The following is a 14,122-nucleotide window of genomic DNA, read 5'->3' as shown; positions in this document are numbered from 1 at the left end:
TGGCATATTTTCTCAGTCTCACATTTCTCTTCTATAAAAGAGAGTTGGACTAAATGATCCCTAAGGCCATTTTTATGTCTGATTTTTCCATGCCACTTGAGGTGGTCATCTCAGAAACATGACTTCCCAATTCTGGCCACCAAACCAGGTTGTTCTCTATCCTGGCTTTGCATTGATATTGCTGAGTCGGGAAAGCCTGGTGGTCATGAATGGCTTGCCTGAGTGCCATTCCTGCTCTCCATCGCTTACAGCATTGCTCAGTACCCTGAGTACTGTGAGGGTACTTACTTACTCTGTTTGGGCTCAATCCTTGAATCTATTGTCTACTGCTGGCCCATCTGGAATCCCACATCTTTAGGCTTCTTATTAGATGAGAGGACACAGAACCATTGTGTCCTTCTTGTCCTTTCCCTTACTCCAGGTCACCTGTAGTTTTCTGCTGAGTACTCCATTCCCTTTAAAGTTATACCAGAAAGAGTGACTCAAGCCGGGGGAACTTTCAGTGGTGGGAAAGGGTGGCAGATATGGGTATAGAGCCAGACTTTAGGCAATACTTCAATGAAACCATCAAAAAACTACTTGCTGTGGCTATGATCAAGTTAGAAGGCAGAAAAACAAGAAAGACACTGCATGTGGGTGTGCGTATTTAGAAGGTGGCACAGGGATAAATTACAATGTGGAAGGTAAATATCATGATGGCATGAATATATAAACAAGAGAAATCAGAACAGAATAGAAAAGAAATAAGAAAAGAGGATGGAGAGTGTGTACTGAACTATCTCTAGATGGTAGGAAAAGGACATTGAAGATTTTCTGCTGACAAAATTCAATAGGATTGAATTCGCAAGTTTCACTTGGTGCTAGGATGTACCTCCTAACAACATGCCTGCAATTTTGCAATGGACATGCTAAAGTAGTAGGGCACCCCAAAATATGAATAGCCCCATCAAGACCCATGGTCTAGTCAGTTATTTTGTGCTAAAATATATCTCTATACTGAAACAATAGCATATAAACAAATGCATATGTATATGTGTACATATATGTGTGTATATATGTATACGTATGTATGTACATGTGTATATGTATGTGTGTATATAAGTATATGTATGTGTGCATATGTACATATGCATGTGTATATATGTATGTATATGTACATGTTCATATTAATATAAAGTATGTCTTTAGCGGTCCTGTCCCACATAATAGTCCAGCACAGCATAATAGACTCTCAGCTGGGGCTCACGAAATGTTTCTCAAATGAATGGAACTGGGAACAATTAGATTCTTTATCCGTTGTGCAGTGTTTCCTCCTGTACTCTAAGGGCAGCCTGCTTGAAGGTGATACAAATAATACATTCATACCCTTCTGTCCCAGCTCCAAATAATGTTTTTATTTCACTTGTGACTCTCTTACCTATAGCCATTAGCACATAGCATTCCAGGGTCCACTGCAGATATTATGTGAACTAATAAGGACAATAGTTGACCACTTCAAAAATTAGAAATGACTTTAACTTGTGGCTGCTGGGGCAAAACTTGTTTTTGGTGTAGCAGGATTCATTGTGGAATAATAACAATTATAGTAGTAGTATTAATAATAGTAATATCTGTTGAGTCCTTAGAGTCTACCATGAGGTGGGAACTATGCTAGATACTTTGCATATCTGAAAAGTGTTATTCTTATTGTTAAAAGTATTATGAAGATTGTTACTTACATGATTGATCCAAACAGGTGCACAATACTTTATATGTATTATCTCATCTAATTTTCACATTTCTGTGAAATAGTGGCTGTTATTTACTTTATGCAGGTGGTGAAATTGAGGATCCAAGAGGGTGAGTAATTTGCCCCAAGTTACCCACACACTGTGTAGCAGCCAGAATTCACACCCCAGGGAAACAGTCTTCCAGAACCCCTGCATTTTTTAGAATGGGATCCTGGATCAGAGAAGTGGTGGAAAACAGGGGGGACGCAAGTCATGCATCCTGGTGGGGAGATCACCAGGGTGGCCACTTCCCATGGTGGCAGTGAGGAGTGGAGGAGATTATGTGAGTCAATGTCTAGACTGGCATAGGCCACTGAGAAACCCTCATGAAGAGCAGTCTCCTTTCCTCCCCCTTGAAGCAGCAAATGTAACTAATAGTATGAAATGTCTAGATTTATTTTTCTTTTTGAGTGACATACAGATATTTCTGAGTCAGTTTTGATGGGGATTATTTTCAGTGGCCATAGAAATACTCCCCATTACCTCGTGCCTCTGTTAATCTCACATGTTGATCCTCACAGCAGAGGTTACTACGATAGACCGAAAAATAATAAAGCTAATAATAGTGAAGTGGCAAAGCCTCCCAACTTTTAATACTGTAAGCTTTCTGTCTAAAAGATGTCATTTCTTTCAACGGCTTCAACTTTCTTCAAGGCAGAAAACCACTGAAGCTGCAGCATAGCTGAACATCTGTCTTATCATGTGGGCAGATATTGGGATTAAATTAACTAGAAATGAATAGAATGATGTATGACAGGGTGCAGATGTCCCAGGCACAGTGTGATAATTTCATTGCAAAACTATGTAATGAATTCCATACATTATGGAAGTACAAATGTACCACTTTAGGTAATTGTGATGAAAAGGTATAATGTGCAATGCATAAACAGAGTGTGAGCCCAGGGGCATTTCTCCTCTGCTATTTCTCTTTAGTCATTTCAGAATGACTTTATTTGGTTTAATGTAAGCCTATTATTATTAGAGTCTTATTTTTTTGGTCTGCCCCTTCAGCATTTCTTGCCTGGTTGGCATAAGAAATATTTGGAGCAGAGGAATAGAATTTGGGTGGGTCAGAGCTTTGGCCTCCTGGAGAGTGATGGCTGGTGACAACATTTACAAAAATGTGTTTGTTGTGAGAATTTCAGAGCAAGGATTTACCTCCCCTCTTTTCTTTCTTCCCAATAGGCTGGGAAGATTGCTTCAGTATCCCCTGCTAATGTGTGCATGGGATTCAGGGTTGTGTGATGGGAAGAGACATGGATTTAAGCCAGAAGACCAAGGTTCCTCTTTTGACTCTGTTCTTGACTGCTGTGTGACCTTGGGCAAATCACTCCACCTCTCTGAGCTGCTATCTCCTCATTTATACAATGCAGCTGATAATACTGTATCATAGTGTTGCCAGGTACCAACGAGAGAGCTCAAACATCAGTTCTGAGAAAATAAGGACTCTGTTTTGCTTTTTAGCACTTTGCTAGGCACTATTTTATGCCCAGTGCGTAGCAAAGTGATCACACAGAACAGGTAACTGATAACTGTTTTTAAGGACATAAGTTAAATAATTATGTGCTAGGCAAAGTGTCTAGCACAATGCCTGGCACATAAGAGGCATTTAATTAATATTTCTTGAATTCTGATGGTTTGAAGAAGTTTACTTGCAGAGACCTTCAAATTGAGCTGTTGGTAACACAGGCACTGAACAGCCCATTATACAGAGTCACTGGCCAAGCATCAGGTACAGCTTGGCTCAGAGAAGGGCTGTGGATCTTCCAGTGTCACACAGCACCATAGAAGTAGGGCCAGGACTCCCAACAGCTTCAGTTTGCCTGCTTTGCCAGGCTGCCTCCTGGCTGGGATTAAGCAACGAGGTCTGGTGTGAAACAGAGGTCTCTCCTCCCTGGAGTAGAAGCATACCTTTGCTAGTATGTGTTCCATCAGGGAACAAGAAGAAGGTTTCATTCTGCAGCAAATGGCTGGCCCGCAGCCCTGCTCACCAAGTGAGAGTGACAGCCCCGTGGTCACAGCTGGGGCCAGCCCCAGCCCTATTTTTCTCCCTGTTCCACTGCTCTGTTCACATAGCCCCTCTCTTCCCCTTTAAGTCTTCTCTCCACCAATTATTTGCCTGGGGTGACATCAGTGGAAAATGTGAGGAGATGGCAGCAGGGCCGAAACCTTAGCCTTCCCTGGGAGGCTAGAAAAGCCTGTTTTTAATGCTCTGATTGGTCCTTGATTTCCCCAGCTTGTTTGTGCCATGTAATGCTTTCGGCACAGTTGAAGCCAGATGCCTGGGGTGATTTGAGGCCACCGAGGGCCTGGGTCCCCCTGTCCACTGGACAGATGCTTCACTGTCTGTCCTCCCAGGGAGGGATCCTACAGTGGAAAAGTCATGAGGTGGGGGTTCCTTCTTCCCCCACGTGAATGTTGCTGCATTAAAAGCTGTGAGTTTGGGGTTGGTCACAACACATCTTCCTTCCCTTGCTCCAATCTTCCCTTCTCTGTCCTCTCCCCACAAGCCTCAGGGCTTTCTGCAGGGCCTAGATTTTCTTGCCAATTTGGATGACTTGAAAGGAACATTGTTTGAAATCGAGATTTGAGGAAGGTGCTAATCTTCCGCTGCTTATCAAATTTGAGCAAAAAATGTTGACATCTCACTTTCCCAAGTGCTAGCTCAGCTTTTTTGTGTTCCACTGCAAGAGAGGAACCAGCTGTGTCTAGCAGGGGATTAAAAACTCAACTCGGACTCCCCAGCCCTTTATACCTGGTCTCAGCAGACCCAGGGGCACAGCAGGGATTGTGGGGGGCTTGGAGGTGTCCTCATCCCCAACAGCACTGCCCTCTCATACCCCTGGAGGGGCATTCCATTGATTGCCTCTGCTCCTGCTCCTGCTTAAACTCTTAAGGAAAAAGAAAACTGCTGCTGAGAAGTTACTGCTTTAAATGTGGAGAGAGCTCTTCATTTTCTCACTATGAAAGACATATTTGGGATCATCTGGTTTTCCAAGCAGTTGCCCAGTTTATCTCACTTTAAATCAACTCTTTCAGACTGGACCCTTTCCTGGATGAATTAATTGAGCGTAGCTAAAACCAAAATGCTCTCGCGATTAAGGAGCTAGGAACAGGGGCACTGTGTCAAGGATGTCAGCTCGCGAGGATGGTGGCGAGTTGTTTACTTCTATTCTCATAACAGAAAGAACAGGCAGGCTCAGCCCACTGGAAATAATTTTGAATAATCTCACTCTATTACTCGAAGCGAAATTGAGTCTGCTCAAGCTACCCTAGTGATCCGACATTTCAGCGAAACGGAGAAACTAATATCCAGTTCATGCAGCATAAAATAAGTGACATAAGGAAAAGCAGGATGGAATCTGGAAGTTTTTAGTTTTCAATTTGTATGGCTTGTCTTCTATTACTGGATCAAGTCACTAATGCGGCTCACACAGAGGAGGAGTTTTCATTAAGCTCTTGGTCACTAGTGGTAGTGGGCATGTGTTTGTGTGTGTGTGTGTGTGGGTGGCTACTGATGCCTGACACTGATCTGAAATATACATCACTCTGTGTAAATCAAATCTAGAAAGAAAATTTGTCTAAGAAATGGAAATTGAGTCCTGTGTTACCAACTGGAGTTCTCCCTGCTAAGAGGGCAGATGACCTGGAATTTAGATTTGACCCTTTAGGAAATGCTCCCAGTGTGGGGGAAATGGCTCATTAGCTTCATCCACCAGCCCTGACATGGTCTGTCTCCTACGAACATGCACTCTGCTAAGGGAACTGTCATCCTCTGAGCCAGGAGGAAACCTTAACATCTCTCTTAACTCTTTCCTCCTTCATAGCCCTTATACCTTACTAGTTGCTAAATAATTGGATCTGGCATCAAATTATCTATTGCTTCAATTCTCTCCTCTCCAGGTCTGGTTAAGACACTGATCCCATCTTTCTAGTAATCCTAATTGCTCTTTATCCTGCCTGTATCTCTCTGCTTTAAGCTGTCCTCTTTCTGGTTACTAAATCACCCTAAGCACAACTTGAATATATCACTTGCTGCTCAAAAGCACTCAATGGCTCCCCATTGCCCAGTAACTAAAATTCAAACCCCAGAGCTTATCATTCAAAATTCTCTACAATTTGGCTCCAGGCTTCCTTTCTAACTCAATCTCACATGTTCCTCTTCATTCATACTGAGCTGCAGCCAAGTGCAAGTGGTTCTGGTTTTCTTGCACATGCTGCAGGCAGTTGTCTGCCTTTGTGTGTTTGCTCACATGGTTTCCTCTGCATGGGTGTCCTGCCTTGCCTGCCCATCTGTGCAGTTCCAGATCCTACTCATCCTTAAAAATCTATGCCAGGTGCTACCTCTTCCAGGAAGACTTTCTTGATCCTCTGGGTGGAAGGAGGTCCTTCCTCCTTAGGCTCCTCATTGTTCTTACAGCACAGGGGCAACAACATAGATCATAAATAAAATGTACAGCAATGAAGTCAAATGTCTAAAGGAGAGTCCCAGCTGTGGCGTCATGTATATGCCACTTAAATTCTCTGTGACACAGGTTTTCTTCTGTGAAACTGAGCTAAAAATAGCATTTACCTCTCAGAGAATTTCAGGGAATTCAAGGGGACAATATGTGCAATGTACTCCGTGTAGTGCTTTTTGCATGGCAAGAGTTCAACAGACTTTTTTTTTTTTAGTTACTTTTCTCTTCTGCAGTAGTGCAAGCTTTTAAAGGATAGGCCCATCATTCAACTCAACATTTTTCAACATCTATTCGAATCACATCCTATGCTGGGTTTGAGGACATATAGAAATAAATAACACATAGTACCTTCCCTCAAGGAGCTCATGATCAAGGGTAGAGGTGATAAATGAGCAAACAGTGGCAACACATTGGGTTAAGGGGTGTAATAGAAGTGACCCCAGGGAAGGCAGTGTGGTGAGGTGGCTTCACTCTGTTCAAATCCCAGCCTAGTCACTTCCTAACTGTGTGACCTTAAGCAATTACTTCACCTCTCTGTGCTTCAGTTTCTTCACCTATAAATTGGGGATAGTAAATGGTACCTATCTCAGAAGATAGATGTAAGGGTTACAAAGCTTGAGAACCAAGTCACACCCAGGACAGGGCCTGACTGTTTGAAAGAGCTCAGTCATGGTTAGTTACTATCGCGGAGCTTTTGGAGATCTGATTGATGCTTTGGCTTTGGGCAATTTCTCTGCCAGAGAGGTGAGCTTTTATGAGAATAAAGACATCATGGTTCAGAGAAGCCACCACTGGAGGCAGAAGGCTTCTCAGCTGTCTGTTTAGTGATGCACTTTAAGCTCAGAGACCACTCCTCTTTTAGAACATAAACCATTCCCGCCTGTGTAGTGAATACAGGTGTGGATAGGGCACGCTATTGGCCAGAGGATTTTGCTGCATCTCTTTACATTTCCTAGTGCTAAGGGTCTGCTTCTGCTCTCCTAGGCTTCTGTCCAATAAAAGTCCATTCAAAGAACACCCTCCACCCCTTTGTCATGTTTGAACATTGAGATCTTATACAATAGGGATGGATGAAACTTTATCAGGCAGTTTTAATTGGCCTCAACTCTGGTACCTGCTTTTGTGACCTTGGTAATCAGCCCTCTTGAAAAATCAAAACCCCTCCAGAGTCTGCAGCTTTATTTCCCAAACCCTCACTCTCCTCATGCTGTGGGTCACTTGTACTTGGTCAAGGGAGGCCTGGGGATTCACAGCTCAGGTAGTCTCTTGCTGTGATTGGATTGGGTCTTTCCTGGTTGGAGGTGGCAGCCAAGGAGATTCCTGGACAGCACTGTCCTGGGAGACTATTTGACCAAAGCAGGGCACATTCACCTCTGATGTGAGTTTGTACTCAGGCCTGTTATTCAGAGGAAGCATCAGAAAGAGCGGGGGCCTGAAGGGACCAGGAGATCACGTGCGGGTGACTGTTCAGGTGCTGTGGAGAATCAGGAGATACAAGAGAGGATTAGGCAAAAGAAATCTATTAAATAACAACTCAAACAAATTATTGGAAGTGAAGGACCATTTTTATTCCAGAAAAAGCAGGCTTTGCTAGAGCAGATTGGATTCAGGGCTCCGCATGGCATGTACATATGTACCTCTGTGTGTGTGTGTCTGTGTGTGTGTGTGTGTTACTTGTGGGAGGAGAGGATGAAACACAGCAAAGTGACCCTGAAGTCACTGCACCTGTCCCTTGTTTCTCTAGCCCACCTGCACCCAAGTGAGGAAAATTCAAAGATATTTGGTTATGAACCTGGAAATGACCCTGAATCCCCCACCAGTTCCCTCACATCTCTGCCAAAGACCCATATGACTCACTGGTGCTCCCTGGTGGACATTTGGGTTCTGTGGCTCCACCTGGGACATTGACCCAGTGTTTGGGCCTCTCTTGCTCTCATGAAGAAGGAATGAGGTATCATTGCAGCTGGAATTAGACTGCAGTGCCCAGATACTGCCCCAGCTGAAGTGGGTAGGGCTTTCCTCCCTCTGGTATCTCAACTCTTTATTTTAGGCTTCTCAGAGGAGGACTTTGCTCTTCTCATACACACTTTTGTGACTTGAGGGTCTTGGGGCTGAGTGATTAGAAGACCTATGAGGGAAATCAACCACTGTCTCAGTTCAAAGTCCACAGGCCCCTGGATTCTCTCTACATCACAAAGCAAGCCCTGTCTACGTAGGTAACCCTGGAGAGGCCAATTTGGATTTGGACTGCTGTTCATAGCCTGGGGTCCTTGCCATAACTGATGGGAGCATTCTCAAGGGCTGGCAATGCCCACCAGCCCAGGACAGCTCCATCCAGCTGTCTCACCAGAGCAAGTGTCTCCTGACCTAAGCAGGACTCCCATCCCCTAAGAGGGAGTGTGAGATGTGGAAACCTGGAATGGAATCAGGCGACCTAGGTTCAAAGCTCTGGCCTCTCCTAAGAGTGTGACTTTGGCCAAATCATTGAATCCTTCCAAGTCCCATTTTTCATGATTACAGAAGAGAAATAATAAAATACCTTCCTTACAGGGTTGTTGTGGGAATTAGAGGTGACATGCTTGAAGTGAATGGACTGGTGCCCAGCGGGTCATCACAAAGATAACAGCAGCTTCCATATGTTTAGTTGTTCACTAAATGCCAGACACTAATAAGTTCCTTACATATTTTGGCAAGCCCGGTTTTCATAGGCCATGTAATCATTGAATTAAATAAATGTAACTCTTTTGTTCTATGACTTCATTTTTATTAATTATATGTTTATATAAGCCCCCGTTCTGCATGATAGATATCCAATTCTAGTACTAAGGAATCTGGGTCCTCTCAGGGTTTTCTAAGTTGCTTTGGGTTTAAGCTCAATACATTCAAACTTGTTGCCTTTCTCTTTTTCCCCTTGGTGTGGCATATGCATTCTGGTGTTGAGATGTATCCTGGCATGGGTATGAGTTGAGAAAAGGCTGAGGTTCTGGCCCACAATCATTTTTTTTCCAATTATGGTGGCTGCCAAGATGTGACTCCTGGTCTTGGTCACTGGCACCCTCTCCCAGGTGTGTGGGCACTGCTGTCCCACCTGGTCCTGGCTTCATAGTCTCTCCTTTTCTCTGATATGTCATCTTTCTCTCCTAATTCTAATGCCATCCCATGCTACACAGGGGGAGCTGGCTATTTTCCAGTGCTGTGCTGGGAATACTGGAGACTTATGGGTGTCCAGGACCCCTGCCTCTGGAGCCCCATGGAACTATCTCTGCTATCTGTTCCTGGGCCCCCATGAGTTGCCATCTCACAGAAGTCCAGATGGGAGCACAGTAATGGACCCTTTCCTCTGTATCCACAGCTCTCCTGACCGCTTTTCCATCTCTGCAGCTGACACCTGTGGAGGGGAGGTGGGGCCCAGGGGAAGGGCCACAGTCCTTTGCTTTTTCTCTGGCACTCTCTCCCCTCCTCCCTACCTTGGAAAGTTTTATGGGTATGGGTAGTGAGACTGGAAAAACTGGTTCTGCTTGATCACATATTCTTCTAAATAGTTTCTGTCTTACTTCTGGACTGAGAGCATTGAACTTCAAAACCAAGAATGTGATCCCTTTGTCGTCTGGTCCTACCATGACAGCTTTCCTAAAGTAGTAGGGGCTTTAGTTTAACTGCCCCAGTGCGGGTAGGTTGAGATGGAAATAGGAAATGCAAGGTGGATGGGTAAGGAGACTATCACCATCTCACTGCAGACGCTAATCTTATTTAATCTTTCAAACAACCTTATGATGCAGTTTCTATTATGAAACTCATTTTACAGATGATAAGCTAAGGTTCAAAGAAATGACTTGGCTGGCTGATTCCATTTATTCAATCAAAAATATTGATAGAGTGTCCACTATGCACCAGGTACTGTTCTCGGTTTTGGAGAATACAGCAGTGCACAAAACAAACAAAACTCTTGTCCTCATGGGGCCTACAGCCAAGTGGGGTAGGTAGAGTAGGGCACAAACAGTAAGGAAGAAGATCAACAGGTATGTGATATAGTTTATCCCATGGTAATAAGTTTTAGGGATACATATAAATCATGGAACGAACATAAAGAAAGCAAGGAGGATATGGCTTCAAACAATATGGCTCACCAAAATGAATCAGGTGAATAATCCCACATCGGAGGGGAAGGAATCTCAGAAAGAGGAAAGAGCAGGACAAAGGCCCTAGGCTGGGAGTGTACTTGGTTCAGTAGCTCTAGGAAAAGGGCTGGGATTTGAACCTAGTCAGTTTGACTGCAGAGTTCATGTACTTCACCAGCATCTGATAGGGTTCAAGTTATGATAGTCATTGTTCTGTCGCTTTCCGTGGCTCGATGTTAAATGCCCTTCCCCTTTATGAGTCTTGGTGAGTAGTTGAAAATGCCAGAGGCTCTATTTCCTAGCATTTTACAGCTCCTATAACTGTAGAATGGTTGTAGGTCACAGGTATAACCAATGAAAACACAACCTAAGATACAAATCAGGAGCTACTGATGCAAAGAATGGGGACCAGGAGGAAGAGTTTCTTCGAGACCTGGTGGTTGAAGAGCAGTGGATCATTCTTGGCTGTGGTGGGAGAGGTGCTGAACGTTGTTCACGCTGGCTATGTCATGAGTGGAATCTATGGCGTCAAGGCTAGGTAAGGCAGGGTTTGCATCTGCACTTGACCAGTTCTGTGGTGTGACCTTGGGTGTTCTTGGCTACATAGCCTTGAGCCGGTTTCCTGACACTTCACGGCCATTTGTTGAACTAACTATTATCCATCTGTTTACTCCTTCAAAAGCAACATAGGTTTTATTTTTAGTTCAATAAAAAAAGACTAGATGACAGAAACATTTTCTTTTTCATCCCTCCACCCTATCCCTCAAATTTAGACTTTGCAATTTTTATAAGGTTTGCATGATGATAAATAAGAAATAGAAATGTTATTAAAATTGAAGTGAATTTCCTTTTGGGCTGTGGAAAATAATGAAAAAGCTATTTCATCTGTTTTCTTTCCTATTTCAAAATATAAAATGGAAGATGAGGCTGCTTGCTGTTTTGACATTGTCAGGCATGTCTCATATGCCCTCAGTAGTTCTCATGTTACTTCAACAAGGTCTCTGAGCAACTGAGAAAAATGGTTCCTATTCATTTCCTCTGTGTTGTCTTCCGAGAGCAGTAAAAAGACCGAGATCTCCTTGGAACATTTTACTTCATCTGTAAAATGATCTTTCTTTTCTTTCTAAAAATATATTTTCTAAAATGAATTAATTTAAGAGGGAAAAATTAACACACTTCTTTAGATACATTGCCCCCAAGAGATGACCATACTTTAAGTAAAGCTGAAACCCAACTCACAGGCCTATTATCTAATTCTATGTTTTTCCCCTTGAATTTTTTATTTTTTAAAGTTAATTATGGATAAAATTTGAAGAATCAAATAGCTTTAGAAATCTCTGGCCCAAGGTCATTCTTTTTCCAGTGATAGTGGCTGCCAAGATATAATTCCTAGTCTGACAGGGCTTGAGATATGGCAGTCAAATTACAAAAATTATGCCATATTAGTTATGGAATAAAATTTGAAGAATCAAACAGCTTTGCAGAGTCAATTATACCAAATAGAAGCTCTCTGTCCCCCATCTCCTCATGTTTTCTTTCTCAGAGACAACCACTTCACCCCAAAAAGCGAATAGATTTGTTATTTACTTCCATGCCCTTATTAATAGTAATACACTCAAATTGCTGCTTACTCAGTGTTCGGTTTAGGCATTACCTGTGGACTTCCCATGAGGGAAGATGAGAATTTAGCTCCTTGCTCTCCTGACCCCACTCATCTTCTTCCCAAACCCCACATCCTTCTAATTATAATATGATAATGTTATCATTTTGAGAGATAAATATTCAGTGTTTATATTATTATCTTCAGGCAATGACCTTTACAAATGATTCATGTAGCAAACTGATTTTTCGTTTCCTTCACAACGTTTAGTTTTTTTCTATGGTTAATATTTATCATTTTCCCCCTACTTGCTTAGAATTACATGTAGAAATCAGTAACTAAATTGCAAACCCTTTGTCCAATATGTATATCTCTCAAGACTTATTTACATGAGGTTTTCTAGCAATTTCTCTCCAGGAGGCTCCTGACTTCTTATGATCTCTCTCTGCCTGTGCACAGCATTCTTCCTGGGATCTACCTTCACCATCTTCTATCCCATTATTCCCTCTTTTTCTTGGAGTGCATCCTCTAGTGGCTTTCTGGGAAAGTTGAATGGAAAGTAATCTTTTGTGATCTAAAAATATTTTTATTTTACTTTTACACCTTATTAATAGTTTGAGAATAGAATGAATTTTTAAGGTATTGCTCCATTGTTTTCCAACCTCCAGCTTGATATTAGCCTGAAGCCAATCTGATTCCTGAGCCTTTGTGGTGTGTTTTTTCTCTGGAAACTTGTGGAACTTTCTCTTGGTTCCTATTATTTGGAAATTTTATAATGCTATGTCTTGCCATAAGTCCTTAAAATTTTCTTTTTAATCCATTGCCCTGATAAACTATTTTATCAGGAAACTCAGGTTCTTTTGTCCTGGGGACTTTCCTTGAATTATATTTTTGATAATTGTATTTGTTTCATTTCCTCAAATTGCCTAGAAATCCTATTATTTGGTTATTAGATCTCCTGACTTATGTTTTAAATTTATTTATATTTTACTTTCTGGGTAGTCTTCTCTTCATCTTTTTTTTTCCTGGAAATTTTCTAATTTAAAACTTCCTATTGTGTTCCTCATTTTTGTGATATTTTTAATTTCCCTGATCTCCCTTTTGTTCTCTGAATATTCTCAGTTTTCAGTTTTTTTAGGAATGATTGCAGTATTAATTTTCTAAGGATATGACTGACAGGTGTTTTTATAGTTTTCTTCTCACTAGTTCTCCATGGTGTACCATTAAAATGAAATCTATGATGTCAGAAGCTTTCCTTAGATATCTGGGTGTCTGACAGCCCTTGGTTGTCTGACCATATTTCGGAATGTAGGACTTCAAACCTGAATAGAGGCTTTAGACACGTTATAAGATTTGTCAACTGTGAGCTTAAAGGTAGGGTGGCTGGGCTTTTACTCAGAGAGCCTTCCTTGTCAGTACCTGAAGTTCTTTCACTTTTTGTTTGGTTGCGTTTTGTCAGACTCCCCAGAGAAGTCCCTTTCAGTCTCTTTCCTGGAGATGATATTGTATTCTATCTGCCAGCATTCTAGAGTCAAGAAGAAAATGATGCTGAGCCTCAACATTCAGTAAGGACACTTTTACCAAATGTTCCTATTTTCAATATAATATATCCATCTCCATTATGCTTACTGCTCTGCCATTTAAAATCCCTGACCTGTAATCCCAGCTCTTTGGGAGACTGCGGCAGGTGGATCACTTGAGGTCAGTAGTTTAAGACCAGCCTGGCCAACTTGGTGAAACCTCACCTCTACTAAAAATACAAAAATTAGCTGGATGTGGTGGCATGTGCCTGTAATCCCACTTACTCAGAGGCTGAGGTGCTAGAATTGCTTGAATCCAGGAGTTGGAGGTTGCAGTGAGCCAAGATCATAACACTGCACTCCAGACTAGGTGGCAGAGCAAGACTCTGTTTCAAACAAACAAACAAACACCCTTTGTTTTAGAACAGTGGCTCTCACATTTCACTGGAGAGCTTGTTAAATCACAGATTGCTGGGTCCCACCCCTTAAATTTCTGCTCAGTTAAGTCAGAGTTGTGGTGCAATAATTTGCATGTCTAACAGGTTCCCAGGTAATGCTGAAGCTGCTGCTCCTGGGTCCACAACAGGAGAAGCACTGCTTGCGAGAAAAGGACTCCAGTCTTGGCTGGGTGAACAGGGGCAGTTGCCCTACTGTG

At 42.4% G+C, this 14,122-nt stretch overlaps 1 long non-coding RNA gene across 7 annotated transcripts in view; it reads left to right on the top strand.

Moving 5' to 3' along the window:
* The first annotated feature begins 10,626 nt into the window (after nucleotides 1-10,626).
* LOC105376567 (uncharacterized) overlaps nucleotides 10,627-14,122 on the top strand; it is a 67,229-nt gene continuing 63,733 nt past the window's right edge. For all 7 annotated transcript variants that reach the window (XR_001748141.2, XR_002957238.2, XR_931071.3 and 4 more), the window contains exon 1: nucleotides 10,627-10,885. This is a non-coding gene — a long non-coding RNA (uncharacterized LOC105376567). The remainder of the gene's footprint in view (nucleotides 10,886-14,122) is intronic.

This window comes from Homo sapiens, chromosome 11, assembly GCF_000001405.40.
Source record: "Homo sapiens chromosome 11, GRCh38.p14 Primary Assembly".
NCBI lineage: Eukaryota > Metazoa > Chordata > Mammalia > Primates > Hominidae > Homo > Homo sapiens.
The sequence above is the reverse complement of the archived record's forward strand: the minus strand, read 5'-3'. Positions and strand labels throughout refer to the sequence as shown.